We start from the raw sequence: 19,326 nt of genomic DNA, 5'->3' as shown, positions 1-19,326 counted from the left end.
CTGGGCAGAGGTTCAGCAGGCTAGAGGAAAAGGAAGACTGGCAGAGCTGCAAGGTGAAATTGGTGGGTGGCAGGTGGAGCTGCAGGGAGGCTGGCACCGGCCTAGAAGGCTGAAATGAGCAGAAATTACCATTCATACAGCAGGGATGGCTGGGCCAGAAAAGGTGGCAATCACAGCTCTCGCAAGAAATCAGCATTCATGAAAGTGACTTTAGACTAAATAACCCCCCTTTCCTTCAACCTTTCTTATCTATCTAAAATAAACATTTCAGTGTTGCATATCATTTACTTAATGCAGCTTAATATCCTAATTTTAAAATATTAGGATATTATTTGTTTATGAATCTAGAGAAAAGATTTGCCACTCTCCATATATACATTAATAAAAACTGCACTTGACACCAAAGCAATCCTGGCCAGGTGCTATGGATCATGCCTGTAATCCCAGCACTCTGGGAAGCTGAGGTGGGTGGATCACTTGAGGTCAGGAGTTTGCGACCAGCCTGGCCAACATGGTGAAACCCTATCTCTACTAAAAATACAAAAAATTGGCCAGGGGTGGTGGCACACGCCTGTAATCCCAGTTACTTGGGAGGCTGAGACATGAGAATTGCTTGAACCGGGGAGGCAGAGGTTGCAGCAAGCCAAGATCATGCCACTGCACTCCAGCCTGGCAACAGAGCGAGACTCCATCAAAAAAAAAAAAGAAAGAAAAGAAAGCAATCCTAATGTAAGCTTTATCATTTTCACCTTATATAATCTGAATAATTCTTAAACACCATCATTAACACAATCAGCACTGTACTCCAAGAAATGTTAATAAATGAATGGACAGTTGCTAAATCAGCTCTTCAGTGACTTAAAGTGTAGTGGTTACCTGTGTTTCCTGGACTCTGAAAGTACCTTGATCATAACTGTAACAGGCAGTGCAAAAGGTAGTTATTGCTAAGCCAGTCTCCACTAGACAGGAACTGTTTTTTGTTCTGACAGCAACCCATTCTCTGACCGAACCCAGGAGAGGCCTTTAATTACAATGGGCTGAAAAAAGAAATCTAGGAGAAATAAAGATACTGTTAAAGGGCACCTATTAAGCTCATGGAGATCATGAGAAGAGAGGTAGATGGAAGTAAATAGCCAGCCCAATTTCATTTCACTCTAATGAGTGCCAAGGCTCACATTTAAATTAACACAAGTATAACTGCTTTTACTTGCAACAGGTCTCTGGAAACAGAACCTTAAAGCACCACATTCCTAATCTACTAGTTCCTAAAATTAATTACAGCTCATCTGAAAGATGCAATTACTTCTGCTCATTTAACTTAAATTCTAATGATTATAAGAAGTAAATGAATGGTTGAAGTAATTACACCTCCACACCTCTGATTAGGCTGCCCAACTACACAAGCAAACAACCTTAGTGGAATAAGGAACTCTCACAAAACAAACAGGAATCTGCGATGAGTTCCACTTCAAAAAAAAAAAAAAACCTACGTGCAAATTTATATAACCAAAAATATCCTAAAACAATGGCAGTTCTTACAAGAAGCTAAAGGATGACCAAGTAAATAGGGCAGTAACTATGGGAAGTCTCAAATTTTGTAAACTTGCCTTTTTCCCCCTTTTAATTCTTTCCTTGTGCTACCAAAAATTCTAGTAGCTAAGTGGGCCCTGAACACACACACAAAGTCAAAGCTGGCTTAAAAAGTAAAACACTGAGTGAAAAAAGGCTAAGTTGCATTAGTGAAACACAGAAAATGAAAGGCAGAGGTGCCTCATCTTGTCTAAGGTGTTTCCACCTGTTATTTGCACTTAGGGTTTTCCTTCACTATAAACACCCACTTAATTCTCAAATCAAAAATGTATCATAGCAGCGTATCTCAAACTGAGGTCTGTGGACACTCAGGGTAGACACCTTTAAGAAACTGTGCTCTCCTCTGGCTAATGCCTTAACTGACTGCATTGTCCACATCATCAACATAATCGGTGCCATCTTCATTTGGGTCATGGATCACTAGTGCCAGGAACAACTGCTACCAGAACAAAGGCAACATGACCGAGTAATAAACAAATAAAGCTTCTGATGGAAGGAAGGCCTTCATCAGGGCAAGAAGATTCTCAAGAACTGCAGGTTGCAACTGGGAAAAGTGTGAGAAAATGAATCATCAACAACACACTAGATATTATCAGCAATCTCTGAGAAGAAAATGAGCTTCAGCACAATAACATCATCCATTAGATTAACTAAATGTTGCTGACAAGTTTTGTACTGGTTTCACAATATTGTTTTTATTTACTTTGTAAACTGATTTGCTTTTAAGATTGCATGAATGTTATAAGCATAGAATTATAGTTCCATGCTTGTGTATATTTAATTATCACAATAAATAATTAAATGTATACAAGAGTCCATTATCTTTTTTTTCCTTTGATCAATACTAAACATACAAGTTTAGAAACATTTTCCAAAAAGCAAACCAAACAGCAGTCCATTTGCAGCTTAAGGGAACTAGAAGACTGAAATAAGGAAGAAAGGATAGCCAAGATGCTGCAGGCTAGGGTGGAGAAGGAATGCTGATAATGCTGTCCCCACCCAAACAATTCAATTCAGTGAGTATAACTCTTGCTATTTATTTCTTTTTTTATTTTTTATTGACAAATAAAAGTTGTATGTATTTATGGTGTATAATATAATGTTTTGATAGACATAACATGATGTTATATATATTTGATACATTGTGGAATGGCTAAATCATGCTAATATGATCATTACCCCATAAACTTATCACTTTTGTGTGTGTGGTTAGAACACTTAAAATCTTGTGGCACTGGATATGGTGGCTCACACCTGTAATCTCAGCACTTTGGGAGGTGGAGGCAGGCAGATCGCTTGAACCCAGGGGTTTGATGAGACCAGCCTGGACAACCTCAAGGTGAAAACCTCGACTCTACAAAAAATATCAAAAATTAGCCTGGCCTGGTGGTGCATTCCTATGGTCCCAGCTACTGGGGAGGCTGAGGTGGGAGGATCACCTGAGCCTGGGAGGTAGAGGCTGCAGTGAGCCGTGTCTGTATCACTGCACTCCATGACAGAGTGACCCTGTCTCAAAATAAATAAATAAATAAAAATCTCCTTGCTTATCAAGTTTCTATTCTGTTTATTTCTGTCTATTCTCTTTTTGTCTCTTTTTTGGGGTCTGTGTATTATTACAAGGAGAAAGCTCATTTTACTTAAAGATGACTCTTTGAATTCAAAAGTATAAAGACAAGAAAAAGTAAAAGGCAAATTATATAAAAAATCAATTTTGAAATGTTTCTTTGAATATAATTCCTAAAAGGAAAAAAAAATTAATAAGCAAAAGTAACCTACTTTTTCACAGCTCAAATTTTAAGACTGAGACCTGTTAAAAGGATACAGTTCAAAGAATTATATTTGATGAAAAGGGTAGAGATGTTCAGTCATACACCATTAACTAAAACTATTCACCAGTAAGAATATTTTCAAACATCACTCACAAAATATCTATGTGGCATATAACAAAATGAGCAAACAATCCTAATGGTAAGATTTGTATAGATTTTCCTCACTTCACATGAAAGTTAGGACTAAGAGAGGTTAACTTACTTGCCAACTATCACACTGTACTTGATAACACCAAAAGTCAAATCCAAGTCTAGGTCGATACACTTAATTAACCATTATCCTTTTTCTCCAAGTGGACATGAATCTGAAACGTAATAATGGATGTTGGCCGGGCGCGGTGGCTCACACCTGTAATACCAGCACTTTGGGAGGCTGAGGCGGGCAGATCACGAGGTCAGGAGATCGAGATCATCCTGGCTAACACGGTGAAACCCCATCTCTACTAAAAAAAAATACAAAATATTAGCCAGGTGTGGTGGCGGGCACCTGTAGTCCCAGCTACTTGGGAGGCTGAGGCAGGAGAATGGTGTGAACCTGGGAGGCGGAGCTTGCAGTGAGCCGAGATCGCACCACTGCACTCCAGCCTGGGCGACAGAGCGAGACTCTGTCACAAAAGAAAAATAAATAAATAAAATAAAAATATTGGATATTTAAACACGTGTTAAGTATGTTATATGTATTATTTAAAATTGAAATTATCTAGTTCAATTGAAATCTTCTAGTTCAATTTAAAGGAGCCTTCCAAATAGTCTACTGAAGAAATTACAACTTGAACCACAGAGCAAGGAGCATGTGTGACTCTTATTGGAATAGTCAGGCGTGTATTACCTAAGAGAGTGCAAGTCAAAACTCTCACGGGAAAAGTTAACAACAGGGATAAAAATAATATAATATGCTTAGAAATACACTGATAATTGCTTAATAAGGTTACATTAAGAATGCATTAATTATTAATAAAAATAACAGTGCCGTGCTAAAAAAACTGAAACGGGTAATGGATACATCTATTGAAATAGTCTATATAAAGTTAGGGAAGGTGAAGTCCTCCCCAGGCAGGAAAGAAAAACAGAAAAGACAGACTGGGGGAAGAAGGACTCCCTTAGTGGAGTGGGCAGACTTATGGTACAGGGACGCTCCCACAGTGGAATGGTCAGCCCCATGGTACAAGCACTGCCAGCTATGCCAGGGGACATGTCTGGGCTAGTGGTCAGGGCAGGGGCAGCCAGTGATAGAACCAAGCAGGCTTCAAATCCTTTCTGACACACTCCTCCTATCCAAGCAGCTGCAGCCCAGCCTCAGAGCATCCTTCCTAAGGGACAAAAGGTGGCTTGGTACGAAAAAAATCAGTGCTACAGTGTGACTTCAAGGGTTCCTTTGCTCCAAAATCCCTCCCATTTGGCAGCTGCTGTTAGGAATCCTTTTACCAAGGAATAAAATCTTTTCCTTTTCACAATGAAAGAAGTAATAATCAAACGTTAGTTAAAGTAATACACTCTCACCACAAACTTAAGAATCCTAGAAAGATAGCAGGTTGTATAATTAAGTGCATAAGCCAAATTAATGATGCAGGGCCTATATCTTCAAAGAGCCTACGCTCCCAAGATTTCTTCACTTATGAATGGAAGAACAAAACTATAATGATGGGAATCACCTGACTTTTACAAAGCTAGATTCAACCATCATAATAAAGTATGTAATGTCACTCGTAATATAATGTACATGTCAGAGCATTTATCACAGGTATGTAAGTATTTTGACCTTCTGAAACACTAAAGTTTATCTCAAGCAGAGCGGGGAGAAAAATGTAGAATATCTGGCACCTCCAACAAGAACTGGCTTGGCATTTGACACTCTGAGATGCAGCTCTTTTTGAAGAGGCATCATGCTCTCTTAGATGCAAAGAGGTTAGTCCCGCGAGACTTTAACCAGGATTTGCAAGCCAGAGGAAGGACAGTTCACATTAGTGTTTATGTAGGGTGGCAAGAATTGCAGACAAACTATATTTTTCACAAATCACAGTAAATACCATTATTAGTAGTAGCCTCAAATTCAGAAATTAAGTGAATATGGGCATAAAATATATTATCTTTACCTTGGTTAAGTAACACAAGTGGTTAAGTAAATGTTTTAACATTTGGGATGATTAAAAGATATTTTGGAGCACATTAATTTCAAGACATCTTGCTAAGCTCTCTCCTTACTGTTAATACATGTTTCAAAATATAGATCCGATACTAGTATTGTCTCAGTTTTAGGCGCACACATCCCTATCATGTTGTTATACAAAGATGATGCCCCCATATATGTCCTGGGGGTAACTAGATCACCCAAAGGTCTCTCTACCTTTTGAAAGTACCTCACTCACCCAGCTTTAAGTGACCAGAGATTCCACGGCTTCATTTCAGTAGCTAAAACATCCAGAAGCCTCTATTAAGATGCAAATACTTTTCACAGGCTCCTTTGAAGATGGAAAATAAATAAATACATAAATAAATAAAAATAAATTTTTTAAAAGATGCAAATACCTCCTGGGAAAGGTAACAAGCCATATCATGTAATTGTGCTCAATTCTCTGTAAGAGAAACTCTTCAGTTTCAGATACTCTTAGGTCTTAGGAATTGAAAGCTAAGATCCAGAGGATAAAAGGAGGAAGGAAAATTTGATCAAGAGGTGTATGGGAAAGGAGGTGGAAGAAGCCCTATATTATAGACTATAACAGTCTTTATATTCTACAGATCATCAAAAGTTCTGATTGGCCTTTAACCCCTTAACTTTCATCCCAATGACACACCCAACACCCACACAATGCAAACCAAAACTAAGACGCACAGAAAACTTGCAGAGTTAAAATGCACTGGTGCCTTGCTGTCTTCCATTATCTTACAAAATGGCAAAACTGCAAATGTATGCTTTTTAAAAAGCCAACTCAATGACTGTGTCCAATGAAGAGCCACTGACGTATGAGAGACATTAATAATTTTCTTTCAATATCACTAAACTAGCCTAATTTTATCTTTAAGACAAACTCTTGATTCCCCCCTTAAGGGCTTTTTTAGTTCAAACTATTAATAGACACAATAAATTAAAAAAAAAAAATTAAAGTCCCCAACATCTTCCTAGGAGCATTACACAACGAGATGACTTTGAACGACTTTCCTCAGGATATATTCCAGTGCCCTGTAGAGAACTTTCCCCATCCCTGTAGACATGTGAGTAAGTAAAGAACACCTCAAGAACAAACTTTGTTGGCCACCAGCAGGGGAGCTCTTCAGCTTTTGTCCCCAAATCCATTCAAACAAAAGAAGCTCCGACTCCTCCAACCCACCCTTCGGACCCGCACCCCGCGGGGACTCTCCAGATGCGGGTGTCCACTCCCCCGCCAGCCCTACTTACTCCTCAACGCCCCAATGAGCAGAGAGCCGTCCTTAATGAGCTCCTTGATGAACTTGTTGGTTCGCTCCAGCTCAATCTCGTGACACTGCAAGCGCTCCCTGAAATCTGGGCTGTCCAAGTAGGAATCGCTGAACTCCAGAGTGGGCAGCCCCATGGCACAGGCGCTGCCAGCGGCGGCCGCGGACACGTCCGGGCCGGAGGTCAGGGCGGGGGCAGCCGGCGGCCGCGGCGGGCGCTGGGGTCGCGCGATCGCGGGGAAGGCGCCGGGACGCGAGGGGACTGATTGCGCGGAGGAAACGGGCCCCGAGCGCCGCGCCGCCTGCGCCGGGCTCAGTCTTCCTCCCCCGAGGCTAGGCGAGCGCAGGCGCGGGCGGCGGGCCGAGGCGCGAGTCCCCTCAGGTTGTTGTCATCTGGACGCATCGTCGTTCGGAACGCGGGGGCGGCGAGGCTCCGGGCCGCGGCCGGAGCAGGAAAGTTTCTCTCACGGCGCGCAGACACTTCCGGCAGTTCCACTCCCCAACTCTCTTGACAGTCGTCGGCGTTGTGAGCCAGAAGCAGCGCACAGCCGCAACTCCGGCCGGGCTGGGGAAACCCTCCCCCTCGGCGGACGCAGGCTCAGAGCGCTTGCAAATCGCACCCGGGCTCCCAGACCCTCCTCCCCGCCGCCGCGCTCCCACCCAGCGCCACCCCGCCCCTTCGCCCCTTTGCCCTCCTGCCCCACCCGTCCGCCCGCACTGGGCTCCAGGGCTCCCCGCGCTGCAGCCCCGCGCTTGCGCTCCGGCCTTGGCTGGGGTGTTAGCCCTGTCCCCTCTTGGGCCCCTGGTTTCGGCTAGCCCTTGGTGACACTTCGGGGTCCCTCGCTCCACAAAAGGATCTGACTCCCAATATACCTCCCCTAACAGTGTCCCCTCCACCCACTCCCTACAATTCTCTGGGAGAAAAACCAACGTTAAGTTTCCCTAAAGTCTGAGTATTTTGAAGCGTAGATGGAAGATACTACTGTCTAGCGTTCGTTTAGATTTTACTTCACACTTCCCCACCGAATGCATTTGAATTCCACGTTGAAAAATTGTCCCGTCGCTCTCCCACCCCTCAGCTTCAATGATCCAGCCTGGAGGTGTTTCTTCCCCCTGCCCCCACTCCATAGCTGGGAAGGTGGGACGATTTTTCAAGTCATCCTCACTCTGCTTACGTGCTCCTACTTCTAGTAGAATACCTATTTGCATCACAATAGTAGTATCTCCTATTGGCACCTGGATGGAATTGTCCTAGGAGCGGGAAAATTTTCAAATTGTTGAAGTGGACTGGAGTTTGAAATAAATAGTTAACTCCTACCCACAGGCTTTATCCTTCCTCCGGTGGAGGTTCACCTAATAAATTTCTGTTCTCTTAAAACCTTGACAGCAAAAGAAACGACTGCTTTACATCTCGTCCTGACATCATCTATAGGATTTCTGAGAACTCGGATATTGTTCTTAAGGATCTGCTTTTAATTTCTGCATTTTCATTGCTTTGTCCATATGAACCATCTGTTTAAAAACTATTCTACAGATCATGGGAAAAATTCCACTAAAGTGCTTTACATTTTTCCCAATTAAGTTTCAGAGCCAGTCAAGATTCTTGGTTTCAATTTTTTAAATGTACAGGAACATTAAAAATAACATGTAAACCTAAAACAGATAAGATAATGTAAACAGTATGGGCCAGGCGCAGTGACTTAACGCCTGTAATACCAGCATTCTGGGAGGCTGATGCAGGAGAATCACTTGAGGTCAGGAGTTGGAGACCATACTGGCCAACACGGTGAAACCCAGTTTCTACTAAAAAATACAAAAATTAGCTGGGCCTGGTGGCGCACGCCTGTAGTCCCAGCTACTTGGGAGGCTGAGGCAGGAGAGTCACTGGAATCCGGGAGGCGGCGATTGCCATGAGCCGAGATTACGAGATTACTCCACCGCACTCCAGCCTGAGTGACAGAACGACTCCATCTCAAAACACCTTCCATCCATATTCACATCTTTGGCCCCATATTGGCAAAATGACCAGTCACTATTAGAGCCATTTTAACTCCAAGTGTTAAATTTGTTTTTGTTAACTAAATACTCTTCAATTTTTTTTTTCTTTTGCAGGTTTGGGGAAGGGAGAGGCAGTAATTCTGTTTGTCAGTTAATGAAATGACATGACATAAACACCAGTGGACTGTGTCTCACCAGAGGTGATTTTGTATTTACTCATTACTCTGCCTGAAAGACAAAAAATCACCCAGGCCAAACAGTTTCCTTTCAACTTTTGCCATGTTGCTGTTCCTATCAACTGAATCCAGTGCCAAACTGCTGAGATACGAAACGATAAAATATAACATTCTCTTCTTGTTTTTCATTAAATCATCGTACTGTGATTAAGTCTTTAAAAATGCATCATTGGTGTTTCATAAGTTGCATTTAATATGTTGGATGTCAATGTTTAGTTTTCTTTAAAAGTGTTACATGCCAGGGCAGATGTATTGTACATTCTATGATACAGGTTATCATTTGCCCATTCATGTATGTAATGATATGTTTTATGTCTACTGTCTACATTACTAAGGTCTGGGTGGGGAAGTGATTTCTATAAAAAGACAGAAGCATTATCCGTGACCTCAAGCAGTTCTCAGAAAAAGGAAATGTGGAAAATAAGTACCCATAAAGCATAAGGCAGAATATGCTGTGTTCCACAGCCTCACACAGATGCTGTACTAATAATACATTGATGCTATTGTTTATCAATATGTTTCCACTCAGGCCCATCATTGCATTTACATGGAATTAGGATTTTTTCTCCTACCCTTCACTCATGATTCCCTAAAGTTTATCATGTTATAATGGGCTTATTTCTTGTAGGTGTTTTCATAGTTACTCATGCTTATTCCTATGATTCATACTTTAATTATACCTGCTAGTCAGGCTTTCTCTTATGCCACATTAACACAGCTACTTGAGAAAAACCAGAAATGCTTTTGCTTTGAGGTGGGTTTACTGTCGGTTTTGAACTGTTGTTTCCATGCATGATTCTCTCCATCATAATTAACTGAACCAGATTCTTTCCTAGAGAATAGACTTTCTATATAAAAGATCAGCAATACCTGCAAGCCTGTTTTCATAAACAAATGTAATGGATTGAAATATAGCCTGTCCAGAAATTTCCACTTCATAACACATGACACCGTAAGCTGCGTGGTAAGCTTCGCAAATATTATTGGCTGACAGGCTCTTTGGCACAGAGAAATGTCTCTTTGTTTTCCTGATTCTGGAATGGGATATGTGGGCTTTGTTTACTTGCTTTTGAGAGCAAATAGATAGTAGAGGATAGTAAACTAATATGGCATTTGTAAATCTGCCTAAAACTGTTTCTTGACGTAGATCATGTCTGACACTTAAGCCTGGCACTTCGTATGTACTCAGTAAGTGTTATTGTCAAGCTATTATTACTTTTCAATTAATTATGTAGATTTAGACCACCCAGACTCAGCTGATCTGAGGTTAAGTTCAAGCCTGGTAAGAGATGACTAAACAGAAACCAAGTGTTTCTTCTTGGTTTCCCCTCCTCCCAGCTCCTGGTAACCATTGTACTTTCTGTCTCTATGAATTTGACAATGTAGGTATCTCATATAAATGAAATTATACAATATTTGCACAATGTGTCTGTCTTATTTCACTTAGATGATTCAGTCATCAAAAAGAGAAGCAAAGAAGAAATAAGAATTAGATATACATTTAAAACCCATATGAGGAGCCAGGCCTGGTAGCTCAGCCTGTAATCTCAGCACTTTAGGAGGCCCAGGTGGGCATTTCACCTGGAGTTCGAGACCAGCCTGGCCAACATGATTAAACCCCATCTCTACTAAAAATAGAAAAATTAGCTGGGTGTGGTGGTGTGCACCTGTAATCCCAGCAGGTACTAGGGAGGCTGAGGCACGAGAATTGTTTGAAGCCAGGAGGCAGAGGTTGCAGTGAGCCAAGGTTGTGCCACTGCACTCCAGCCTGGGCAATGGAACGAGACTCTGTCATCTTAAACAGATAAAAATTTTAAAAAACCCAAAACAAATAAACAAAAAGAAACAAGCATTTGAACCTACTTAATTTTTGACTTAATTTTCTAAAATACTCTTCTGACAGCCAAAAAATGAAGTTCAGATTAAGCCCTTAGAGGGCGAGATCTTTTTATTCTGCCTTATTAGAAGTATTATTATTGTCACACACAATGCTCTTAACATCACTATTTCTCAAAAAATTAGTTGGTGTATGACACTGCATTTCTGATGGGCAAATGTACACATCATTAGTGACAGGAGCCTATGTGACTTAGTAACATTGTCTTTTCCAGTTTAAAAAAAATGCTCTCACAAATTGTAGAGCCCCTCTCAAATGCATACAGCTCTCCCTGCTTCCTCTCCATGGTTGTCATGAAGCACAGACAAATGCTAAATGTAGTCCGGGTTGAAAAAGAAACTTCGCTTTGTCTGGGGGTAGGAAATGGGAGTCTCTCACAGGAAGAGTACAGAACATAGCCCACATTGTATGAGTCTATGGATTCCAAGAGCTCATTATCCAATAGATGGACTAAAGAGCAATGGTTGGAAGACCAAAAAGTCAAATGACTGAGAGATGAGAAAAGAGAATTTAGACGGGGTAAGTACACATGAGATTGGGCAACAGATGGGCAGTAAGCAGATTAAATAAAGGAAGGAAATATAGTGTGATTTTTGTGGATGAGGTAGAATCCAACATAACTCTGAGATTTAAGCCTATACAACTCAGAAGTGTTATTTTTTTTAGAAGAAATATACATTTTAGGTTGAGTCTCCTATGCTGAGTTTGAGGTAAAGTTAGAATAATTAAGAGGCACTTTCTCAGAAAGAAAAGTGCAGCACAAACACTCAGGGCTGTTGTGTTAGCTTAACGGAGGGGGACACAGAAGCAGAAGTCAAGGTCAACTAGAGGGGAAGAATAGCTGCAGAGAGTGGAATTTGTTCTATGTGACAATATGACTCCTTTTTTCTAAGAGATGGTGTCTGGCTATGTTGCCCAGGCTGGTCTTGAACTCCTAAACTCAAGCAATCCTCCCACCTCAGCCTCCCAAAGTGCTAGGATTACAGGTGTGAGCCACTGCACAATATAACTTCTAAAGTCCCTGCCAAATCTAGATTTTATTATGATGACAGATTTCGGATGAATGGGTTGAAGGAAAAGAACAGAAGTCTAAGCAAGAAATACTCAACAACTAACTACATTTATGAGGGGTGGGGAGAAGGAAAAAGGAGAGGGAGAGAGGTAATCACTTAATTTAGGAAAAGACATTTTTTAGCACAGATTTTGATTTCAATTTAGTATTGCCCTCTTGTGGCAAATCATGATGTTTGCTAACTCTGACAGAAAACTTCATAAAGAGCACAGGAAAAGGAGACAAAATGAAAAGAAGCAGCCTCCACCAATACTGGGCATGATAGTTTTTGCATGTATTGCCCCATCTAAGCTTATCCACAAGCATGTGAAATAGGTATTAAATCTGATTAGCCCCACTTTTAAAGTTTTATTTATTTCTTTATTTTGAGATGGAGTTTCGCTCTTGTACCATAGGCCGGAGTGCAATGGCGCCATCTCGGTTCACTGCAACCTCCGCCTCCCAGGTTCAAATGATTCTTCTGCCTCAGCCTCCCGAGTAGCTGGGATTACAGGCACGTGCCACCATGCCTGGCTAATTTTTGTATTTTTAGTAGAGATGGGGTTTCACCGTGTTGGCCAGGCTGGTCTCGAACTCCTGACCTCAGGTGATCTGCCCGCTTCGGCCTCCCAAAGTGCTGGGATTACAGGCATGTGCCACCGTGCCCAGCCTGATTAGCTTCATTTTTAACAAGTGGGAAAGTTATAACTGAAAAGTGATTAACTTTCCTAAATTTATGTATAATATCTGGAAGGTACTGGAGTTGGGATTTCAATCCAGGTCTACCTTGGTAAAAAGGCCATGCTAAACACACACACACACACACACACACACACACACACACACACACACACACATTCAACAAATATTCATAAGTATCTGTTATATTTCTGTGCTGCTGTAGATGCTGGAAATACAACAGTAATTTTGAGTAAATTTACCTCAATCCAGCCCTAATCAAATTTTCAATCTAATAAATTATAGCAGCAATATTAATCAAATGGCCAGCCAAAGGCCATTTATGAGCTGTGTGACTTAGGATAATTTAACTTTTAGGCTTTACACCTTTCCCAAGTATAAAATTAAGGATGATAGTGATAACGATAATGACTATCATTTATTAAACCCTTACCATGTGCCGGACACTGTCCTATGCTAATAATGAAATAACATCTATTGTTTCACTTGGGTTATTTTAAGCTCTAGACACGAGACATTTTTATACCTCTATGACTCAAAGTTAGAACAAGAAATCTCCTCCGACCAATAATGACAATCAATTACAGCTAGAGTGCTGTTGACACTCCACCCATGTGTGCTCAGAGGCTTGCAGCTGCATTAGAAGAGGAAGTGCTGTTCCTCTCTTACCTCTCACTGAAACCCTCATGGGCGTGGCCTCCGCTGGATTTCAAAGCAGCCACTGACCACACAGAAAGGAAGCAAATGTTTACTGAGCAACCACGCTGTCCATGTCCCACGAGGCCTACAAATCCTCACACTAACCCTGGAGGTAGGAATTTTATAATGAGGATGAGATTGTTGAAGCCCCAAAATGCGAAAACAAAAACCAAGAACCACAAAAAGCCAACAAAAACACCCAGACAACTTGCCCCAGGATGAACAGCAAAGTCTCTAACTCCAAGACCACACCACAGTGAATACGTTGGGACACATCATACGCATTATATATATATATGTATATATATATATATTTTTTGAGACGGAGTCTCACACTGTCGCCTTGGCTGGAGTGCTATGGCACGATCTCTGCTTACTGCAGCCTCCGCCTCCCGGGATCAAGCGATTTTCCTGCCTCCGCCTCCCGAGTAGCTGAGATTACGGGCACCCGCCACCACACCTGACTAATTTTTTGTATTTTTAGTAGAGATGGGGTTTCACTATGTTGGCCAGGCTAGTCTCCAACTCCTGACCTCGTGATCCATCCACCTCGGCCTCCCAAAGTGCTGGGATTACAGGCGTGAGCCACCACATCCAGCCTACTTTTATATAGCTCTTTTTCCACATTTACATTTTTTGCGTTTAGACCCTAAGCTTTTAGATTAAATCTTATTTCTTTGTATCTCTTGCACTTTGCATGCTATCAGCCCACAGATGATACCTAACAAATGTTTTTAATACTTGAGTGCCTTATAATCTTCTAAAAATCATTCTTCAGCTTCTGCGGTAGAGGTGTCTGCACAGATTTGTAGAGAAAGGCTTCTCCCATTTGGCACGGAGGTCTCTACGTGTTGCTTGAGCTCTGCTGAGCATGAAAGGAGTGGAGCTCATTATCCGTGCTTCCAGGCGATGAGTACATCTGCGCTAGAACTGCTGCCATCCAGCACACTGTAACAGGCCCTGGCAAAGGCAGTGAAAGCGTGATGAGGAAAATAACTAGCCCAGAAGGAGCTTAAGGAAACTAACTCAAATAAATGGCTCCACACCCAACAAAGAGAAGTCATAACTCAATCACAGTGAAGCATACTAATGAAAGTGATAAGAAGGATCATTGAAAAAGAACAGACCCACAGTCTCTACTGTTTGAACATTTCAGATGGAAAAAAAAAAGGAAAAAGAACAAATCTGAAACAATCTGTAACCCGTAGTCACAGCGGCAACTTCCTTTACAAGGAATAAAGATACATAGTATTATCCTTTAAAAGGTATATTATCTTACATTCTGTCAATGTGAATTTTAATGCTAATGGAATTAGAAAATTTTACAAAATTTGTCAGTTTTACAAAACTAGGTATAAGAACAATTTTTTTTCAGAACAGTAAAGTTCTTATTTTTATACTTGTTAGTAATTTTTTTCCTAGCTGCCAGTTTGTTGAAATTTTATTGTGAGACAAAAGTGGATTATTGAGATTAAACTTTAGTTTACTAGATAAATAAAAGTAGAACTAGTCCCAGTTCCATTTAATGTTGCAGTGTATTTTACCCTTATGATTTTTTTGTGATCTTTCAAAGAATGCTTCAAAGATTTGTGGAGCTCTTTGAACTCTATTACATTATGTGGTCAAGTAGAACAACATTTACCATATGGTGAAAATCTTGTTGGTACTGAAAATGAATATTTAATGAATCATTATAAATCTTCTAAACCTGCTTTTCCCTCAATTTTGTATTATGAAAATTTTCAAACTTACAGCAAAGTTGGAAAAAATAACGCAATGGATAGCTACATGCTTTCTACTTGGATTCAACAAACATCAACATTTTGTCATATTTGTTTTCTCACTCCTCATTTTGTTTATATATATATATATATATATATATATACACACACACATGCATATCGATATAGAAAAGTTTTTGGTGTTTTTGTTTGTTTGTTTGTTTTAAGACAAAGTTGTTTGTTTTTTTAAGACAAACCCAGGCTGAAGTCGTGCAGTGGGGCAATTTCAGCTCACCGCAATGCTCTGCCTCCCAGGTTCAAGCGATTCTCCAGCCGCAGCCTCCCAAGTCGCTGGGACTATAGGCGCGCAGGCCACCGTGCTCGGCTAATTTTTTGTATTTTTAATAGAGACAGGGTTTTGCCACGTTGCCCAGGCTGGTCTCGAACTTCTGAGCTCAGGCAATCCGCCCGCCTTGGCCTCCCGAAGTGCCGGGATTACAGGCATGAGCCACCGCGCCCGGCCTATATGAAACATTTAAAGTAAATTTTAGCCGGGCTCGGTAATCCCAGCACTTCGGGAGGCTGAGGTGGGCGGATCGCAAGGTCACAAGTTTGAGACCAGCCTGGCCAACATAGTGAAACCCGGTCTCTACCAAAAATACGAAAATTAGCCCGGTGTGGTGGCGGGCCCCTGTAATCCCAGCTTCTTGGGAGGCTGAAGCAAGAGAATCGCTTGAAACCGGAAGTCGGAGGTTGCAGTGAGCCCGAGATCTCAGCAATGCACTCCAGCCTGGGTGGAAGAGCGAAACTCCGTCTCAAAAATAAATAAATAAATAAAGTAAATTTTAGATATTTTTGACACATAATCTCTAAATATTTTAACATGAATCACCAAAGAATAAGGAAATTCTCCAACATAACTAAAACTTAAAGAAAATTAGTACATGATAAAATATTAATATCATCAAATGGCAAATTGTTCCAAAAATGACTTTTATAGCTTAAAAAAAAAAAAAGCAAAACAAGATCTAACCAAGATCTTTACTGAGTCTTAGCCAATGGCCTATGTAACTCCAAATTCCTATTTTGGAGGGCAAGAAAAAAATAGCTCATTAATCATTCCATTCACTAATTAAGATTTTTGGAATAATTGAGCCTAGATTAGTATGAGCCTTCCTTTACTACTGTCCTGAATAAAACGTTTGCTAATCAAACCATTGGAGGAAGAACTGTTTTAAGTAGAACCATTCCTAAATCCTTAAATACTTGAATTTGTCATTGGTGGCTTCTAGGAAAAGATTGCTCTAGAGAAAGAGAATGCTATGCTATGCAAAATGGATGTCTGGCATATAGTGTGTGGTCAGTAAATATTTTTTGACTAAATTAATGAATAAAATACTGGGGACCTAAAGATAAACAACATCAGCATCATCTGGAAAGTGGTTAAAACTGCAAAATCTTGGGCTCCACCTTCCACCTACAGAATTAGAAACTCGCAGGTGGGTCCCAGCAACTGTGTTTTAACAAATCCTCTAGGTAATCCTCCTGCTGGCTAAAGTTTGAGAACAGCTGACCCAGAACATTTCTTAGTAGACATCAAGATTGAAGAGCAGTCTTAGAAAAGGAAATTGAGAATACAGCTTTGAGATTAGGCAAGGGGAAAAATGGTAGGTAGAATGGCCAACAGAGGCTTAGCTAGATGCCAGTGTCAGGGGGAGCCAGCCTGTAAGCAGGGCCTCTGCTAGGGAACTGACAATAGGAACACCACCCTTCAATTACATCATTACATATCTAATGTTCTTGCTTTTACTCTCACTGTTGAGGTGCACTTGAGGATAGCCTTTATCTTCAGAAAATACTATCAGAATGTCTTATTTGGACAGGCGCGGTGGCTCATGTCTATAATCCCAGCACTTTGGGAAGCCAAGGTGGGCAGATCACAAGGTCAGGAGTTTGAGAGCAGGCTGGCCAACAGGGTGAAACCCCGTCTCTACTCAAAAAAAGTACAAAAATTACCTGGGCATGGTGGCAGGTGCCTGTAATCCCAGCTACTCGTGAGGCTGAGGCAGGAGAATTGCTTGAATCCGGGAGGTGGAGGTTGCAGTGAGCCAAGATTGCACCACTGCACTCCAGCCTGGGCGACACAGCATGACTCTGTCTCAAAAAATAAAAAAAAAAAGAAGAATGTCTTATTTAAATTTAATAACTGACAGTACTGAAACAATAATTTTTTTTTTTTTTACAAGCCTAGTTTTATCCTAGGCCTCTGGGTTCAACTCACACAGAGAAGATGGGACTGGGACTGGGCGGGAGTGATAGGTGTAGGTGGGTTGTCACCTGACACAGTCTCTTCCCTTGGGAGGGAACTTTTGTTATGACAATGACTCCCTGGTGTTAGCTTCCAAGGCCAGTTGCGCCATGAAATAGGTATGCTGGGATCTTGTCTGATAGGTTGCCTCAGTCAGAAGGCTTAAGAATGACTCAGGACCTGAAATGATTTGACTTTTCCTTTCATGCGGGAGATAGAGACAGTTGAAGAGGGAAGGAAACAATAATAAAAATAGCGAATGAGGTTGTTTGACAGGGAGGAGCAGAAAGACTAGAGATTTCCAGGTTATCCCTCCATCTCTAGTGAACTCCATGTGAGAGATGACTCAATGGGAAACATGAAAAACTGTCTTTTTCCAGTTTTGAAAACAATTCACCTGCCTAATGATCTATTAGTGAGATTTTCTTTCTAATAATGATTGATTTCTGCCGTTCCAGACAATAAGAAATGACTATGGAGTTATGTGTAAAAAGGAGACTGCTACTCTCTAGCCTTCTCTAGACAGAAAAAAAGGGTTACCTAACCATAAATATTTTCTTCTCAAATAAGAAGAATAAAAATCATAGTTCTCTTCCAAGGTTTTTCAGGGCATCTTCAAAAATTAGAAATAATGACTAGCTAAATTATTTCTAAAACAATGTGATTAGGCCGGGCGCAGTGGCTCACGCCTGTAATCCCAGCACTTTGGGAGGCCGAGGCGGGTGGATCACGAGGTCAGGAGTTCAAGACCAGCCTGGCCAAGACGGTGAAACCCCGTCTCTACTAAAACTACAAAAATTAGCCAGGCGCAGTGGCAGGCGCCTGTAATCCCAGCTACTCGGGAGGCTGAGGCAGGAGAGTTGCTTGAACCCGGGCGGCAGAGGTTGCAGTGAGCCAAGATCGCGCAATTGCACTCCAGCCTGGGTGACAGAGTGAGACTCTGTCTCAAAATAAATAAATAAATAAATAAAACAATGTGATTAATCCTGTTAACATAGTAGGACCCTTAACTGTGACAATATATGAGTATAAAATTTTGGTCAAAAGTACACATTTCATAAACACCAGGAACCCCATTTAACTGTGTAGATTATTTAGCAAGGTAAGGCGATCATTTTGAATTCCACATTTTCTCCATGAGTTACTCTGATGAGGATTTTTTTTTTTTGAGATGAAGTCTCGCTCTTGTACCCCAGGCTGGAGTGCAGTGGCGCGATCTCAGCTCACTGCAACCTCTGCCTCCCGGGTTCAAGCGATTCTCCTGCCTCAGCCTCCCGAGTAGCTGGGATTACAGGCATCTGCCACCATGCCTGGCTAATTTCTGTATTTTTAGTAGAGACAGGGTTTCCCCATGTTGGCTAAGCTGGTCTTGAACTCTTGACCTCAGGTGATCCGCCGGCCTCGGCCTCCCAAAGTGCTGGGATTACAGGCATAAGACACCTCGCCTGACCTCTCTGATGATTCTTGTTGCAATCTCTTTCACTGCTCCGATATCTGTATCTCCAGGCAGGCCCTTGTAGCAGCTGCCCACTGGACATCTCCGCGATGGATATTTCAAAGGTACCACAAGCTCAGCATGTACATATTGGTACACTTATCCTTTTTCCTAAACCTGCTCTTCAAATTGCATTCTCTACCTAAGTTGGATATCTAGGAAACTTGACATGCAATCAGTCACCAAACTACCTCTTTGCTATCTCCTCTGTAGCCTCAGCTTCAGCACTAGGTCAGTCCTCACTGCCCAGGCAATTAAAATAAGTCCTTAGCTTGCCTCCCTGGCTCCAGTCAGCAGTTCTCTAATCCATGATTACAGCCAGAATAATCTTTCTAAAAAAAGCAAATCTCATTATTCTCTCTAGGGCTTCAAGTCCTTCAGTGGCTCCTCAT

The 19,326-nt window shown here is 41.4% G+C and overlaps 1 protein-coding gene and 2 long non-coding RNA genes across 4 annotated transcripts in view, besides 8 other annotated features; 1 reads left to right on the top strand and 2 right to left on the bottom strand.

The window, feature by feature from the left end:
* The window catches only part of ARHGAP42 (Rho GTPase activating protein 42), a 306,654-nt gene extending 299,296 nt beyond the window's left edge, over positions 1-7,358 (bottom strand). For both annotated transcript variants that reach the window (NM_001367945.1, NM_152432.4), the window contains exon 1: positions 6,814-7,358. Coding sequence is in view for 1 of the 2 variants with exons in the window: in NM_152432.4 (NP_689645.2) it covers positions 6,814-6,967 (154 nt within the window). In the remaining variant the exon portion in view is untranslated. The remainder of the gene's footprint in view (positions 1-6,813) is intronic.
* Positions 6,594-6,963: an enhancer, noted in NCBI's record as "active region_5428". NCBI's record gives its function as "activates an Ori minimal core promoter by ATAC-STARR-seq in GM12878 lymphoblastoid cells {active_cell/tissue: GM12878}" and the evidence as "EXISTENCE:reporter gene assay evidence [ECO:0000049][PMID:35858748]".
* Positions 6,691-10,485, top strand: ARHGAP42-AS1 (ARHGAP42 antisense RNA 1). Its single transcript, NR_133571.1, has 2 exons — positions 6,691-7,013; positions 8,943-10,485. It is a non-coding gene; the product is annotated as an ARHGAP42 antisense RNA 1 (long non-coding RNA).
* Positions 6,984-7,153: a silencer, noted in NCBI's record as "silent region_3857". NCBI's record gives its function as "represses an Ori minimal core promoter by ATAC-STARR-seq in GM12878 lymphoblastoid cells {active_cell/tissue: GM12878}" and the evidence as "EXISTENCE:reporter gene assay evidence [ECO:0000049][PMID:35858748]".
* Positions 6,984-7,988: a biological region, named in NCBI's record as "Sharpr-MPRA regulatory region 11910".
* Positions 7,047-7,757: an enhancer, noted in NCBI's record as "H3K27ac hESC enhancer chr11:100557620-100558330 (GRCh37/hg19 assembly coordinates)". NCBI's record gives its function as "activates a minimal SCP1, AML or CMV promoter by ChIP-STARR-seq in primed H9 embryonic stem cells {active_cell/tissue: H9 hESC(primed)}" and the evidence as "EXISTENCE:reporter gene assay evidence [ECO:0000049][PMID:30033119]".
* Positions 7,284-7,333: an enhancer, noted in NCBI's record as "active region_5427". NCBI's record gives its function as "activates an Ori minimal core promoter by ATAC-STARR-seq in GM12878 lymphoblastoid cells {active_cell/tissue: GM12878}" and the evidence as "EXISTENCE:reporter gene assay evidence [ECO:0000049][PMID:35858748]".
* Positions 7,454-7,643: a silencer, noted in NCBI's record as "silent region_3856". NCBI's record gives its function as "represses an Ori minimal core promoter by ATAC-STARR-seq in GM12878 lymphoblastoid cells {active_cell/tissue: GM12878}" and the evidence as "EXISTENCE:reporter gene assay evidence [ECO:0000049][PMID:35858748]".
* Positions 7,694-7,988: a silencer, noted in NCBI's record as "tiled region #11910; K562 Repressive DNase matched - State 2:TssF". NCBI's record gives its function as "represses a minimal TATA promoter and a strong SV40 promoter by Sharpr-MPRA in K562 cells {active_cell/tissue: K562}" and the evidence as "EXISTENCE:reporter gene assay evidence [ECO:0000049][PMID:27701403]".
* Positions 10,486-12,735: 2,250 nt separating the features above from the next.
* LOC124902736 (uncharacterized) lies at positions 12,736-17,508 on the bottom strand. Its single transcript, XR_007062860.1, has 3 exons — positions 17,413-17,508; positions 17,148-17,285; positions 12,736-14,370 (listed from the first exon to the last, which is right to left on the bottom strand). It is a non-coding gene; the product is annotated as an uncharacterized LOC124902736 (long non-coding RNA).
* Positions 15,591-16,092: an enhancer, noted in NCBI's record as "H3K4me1 hESC enhancer chr11:100549285-100549786 (GRCh37/hg19 assembly coordinates)". NCBI's record gives its function as "activates a minimal SCP1, AML or CMV promoter by ChIP-STARR-seq in primed H9 embryonic stem cells {active_cell/tissue: H9 hESC(primed)}" and the evidence as "EXISTENCE:reporter gene assay evidence [ECO:0000049][PMID:30033119]".
* Positions 17,509-19,326: the final 1,818 nt, after the last annotated feature.

Source organism: Homo sapiens, chromosome 11 (genome assembly GCF_000001405.40).
Source record: "Homo sapiens chromosome 11, GRCh38.p14 Primary Assembly".
NCBI classification, from domain to species: domain Eukaryota; kingdom Metazoa; phylum Chordata; class Mammalia; order Primates; family Hominidae; genus Homo; species Homo sapiens.
The sequence above is the reverse complement of the archived record's forward strand: the minus strand, read 5'-3'. Positions and strand labels throughout refer to the sequence as shown.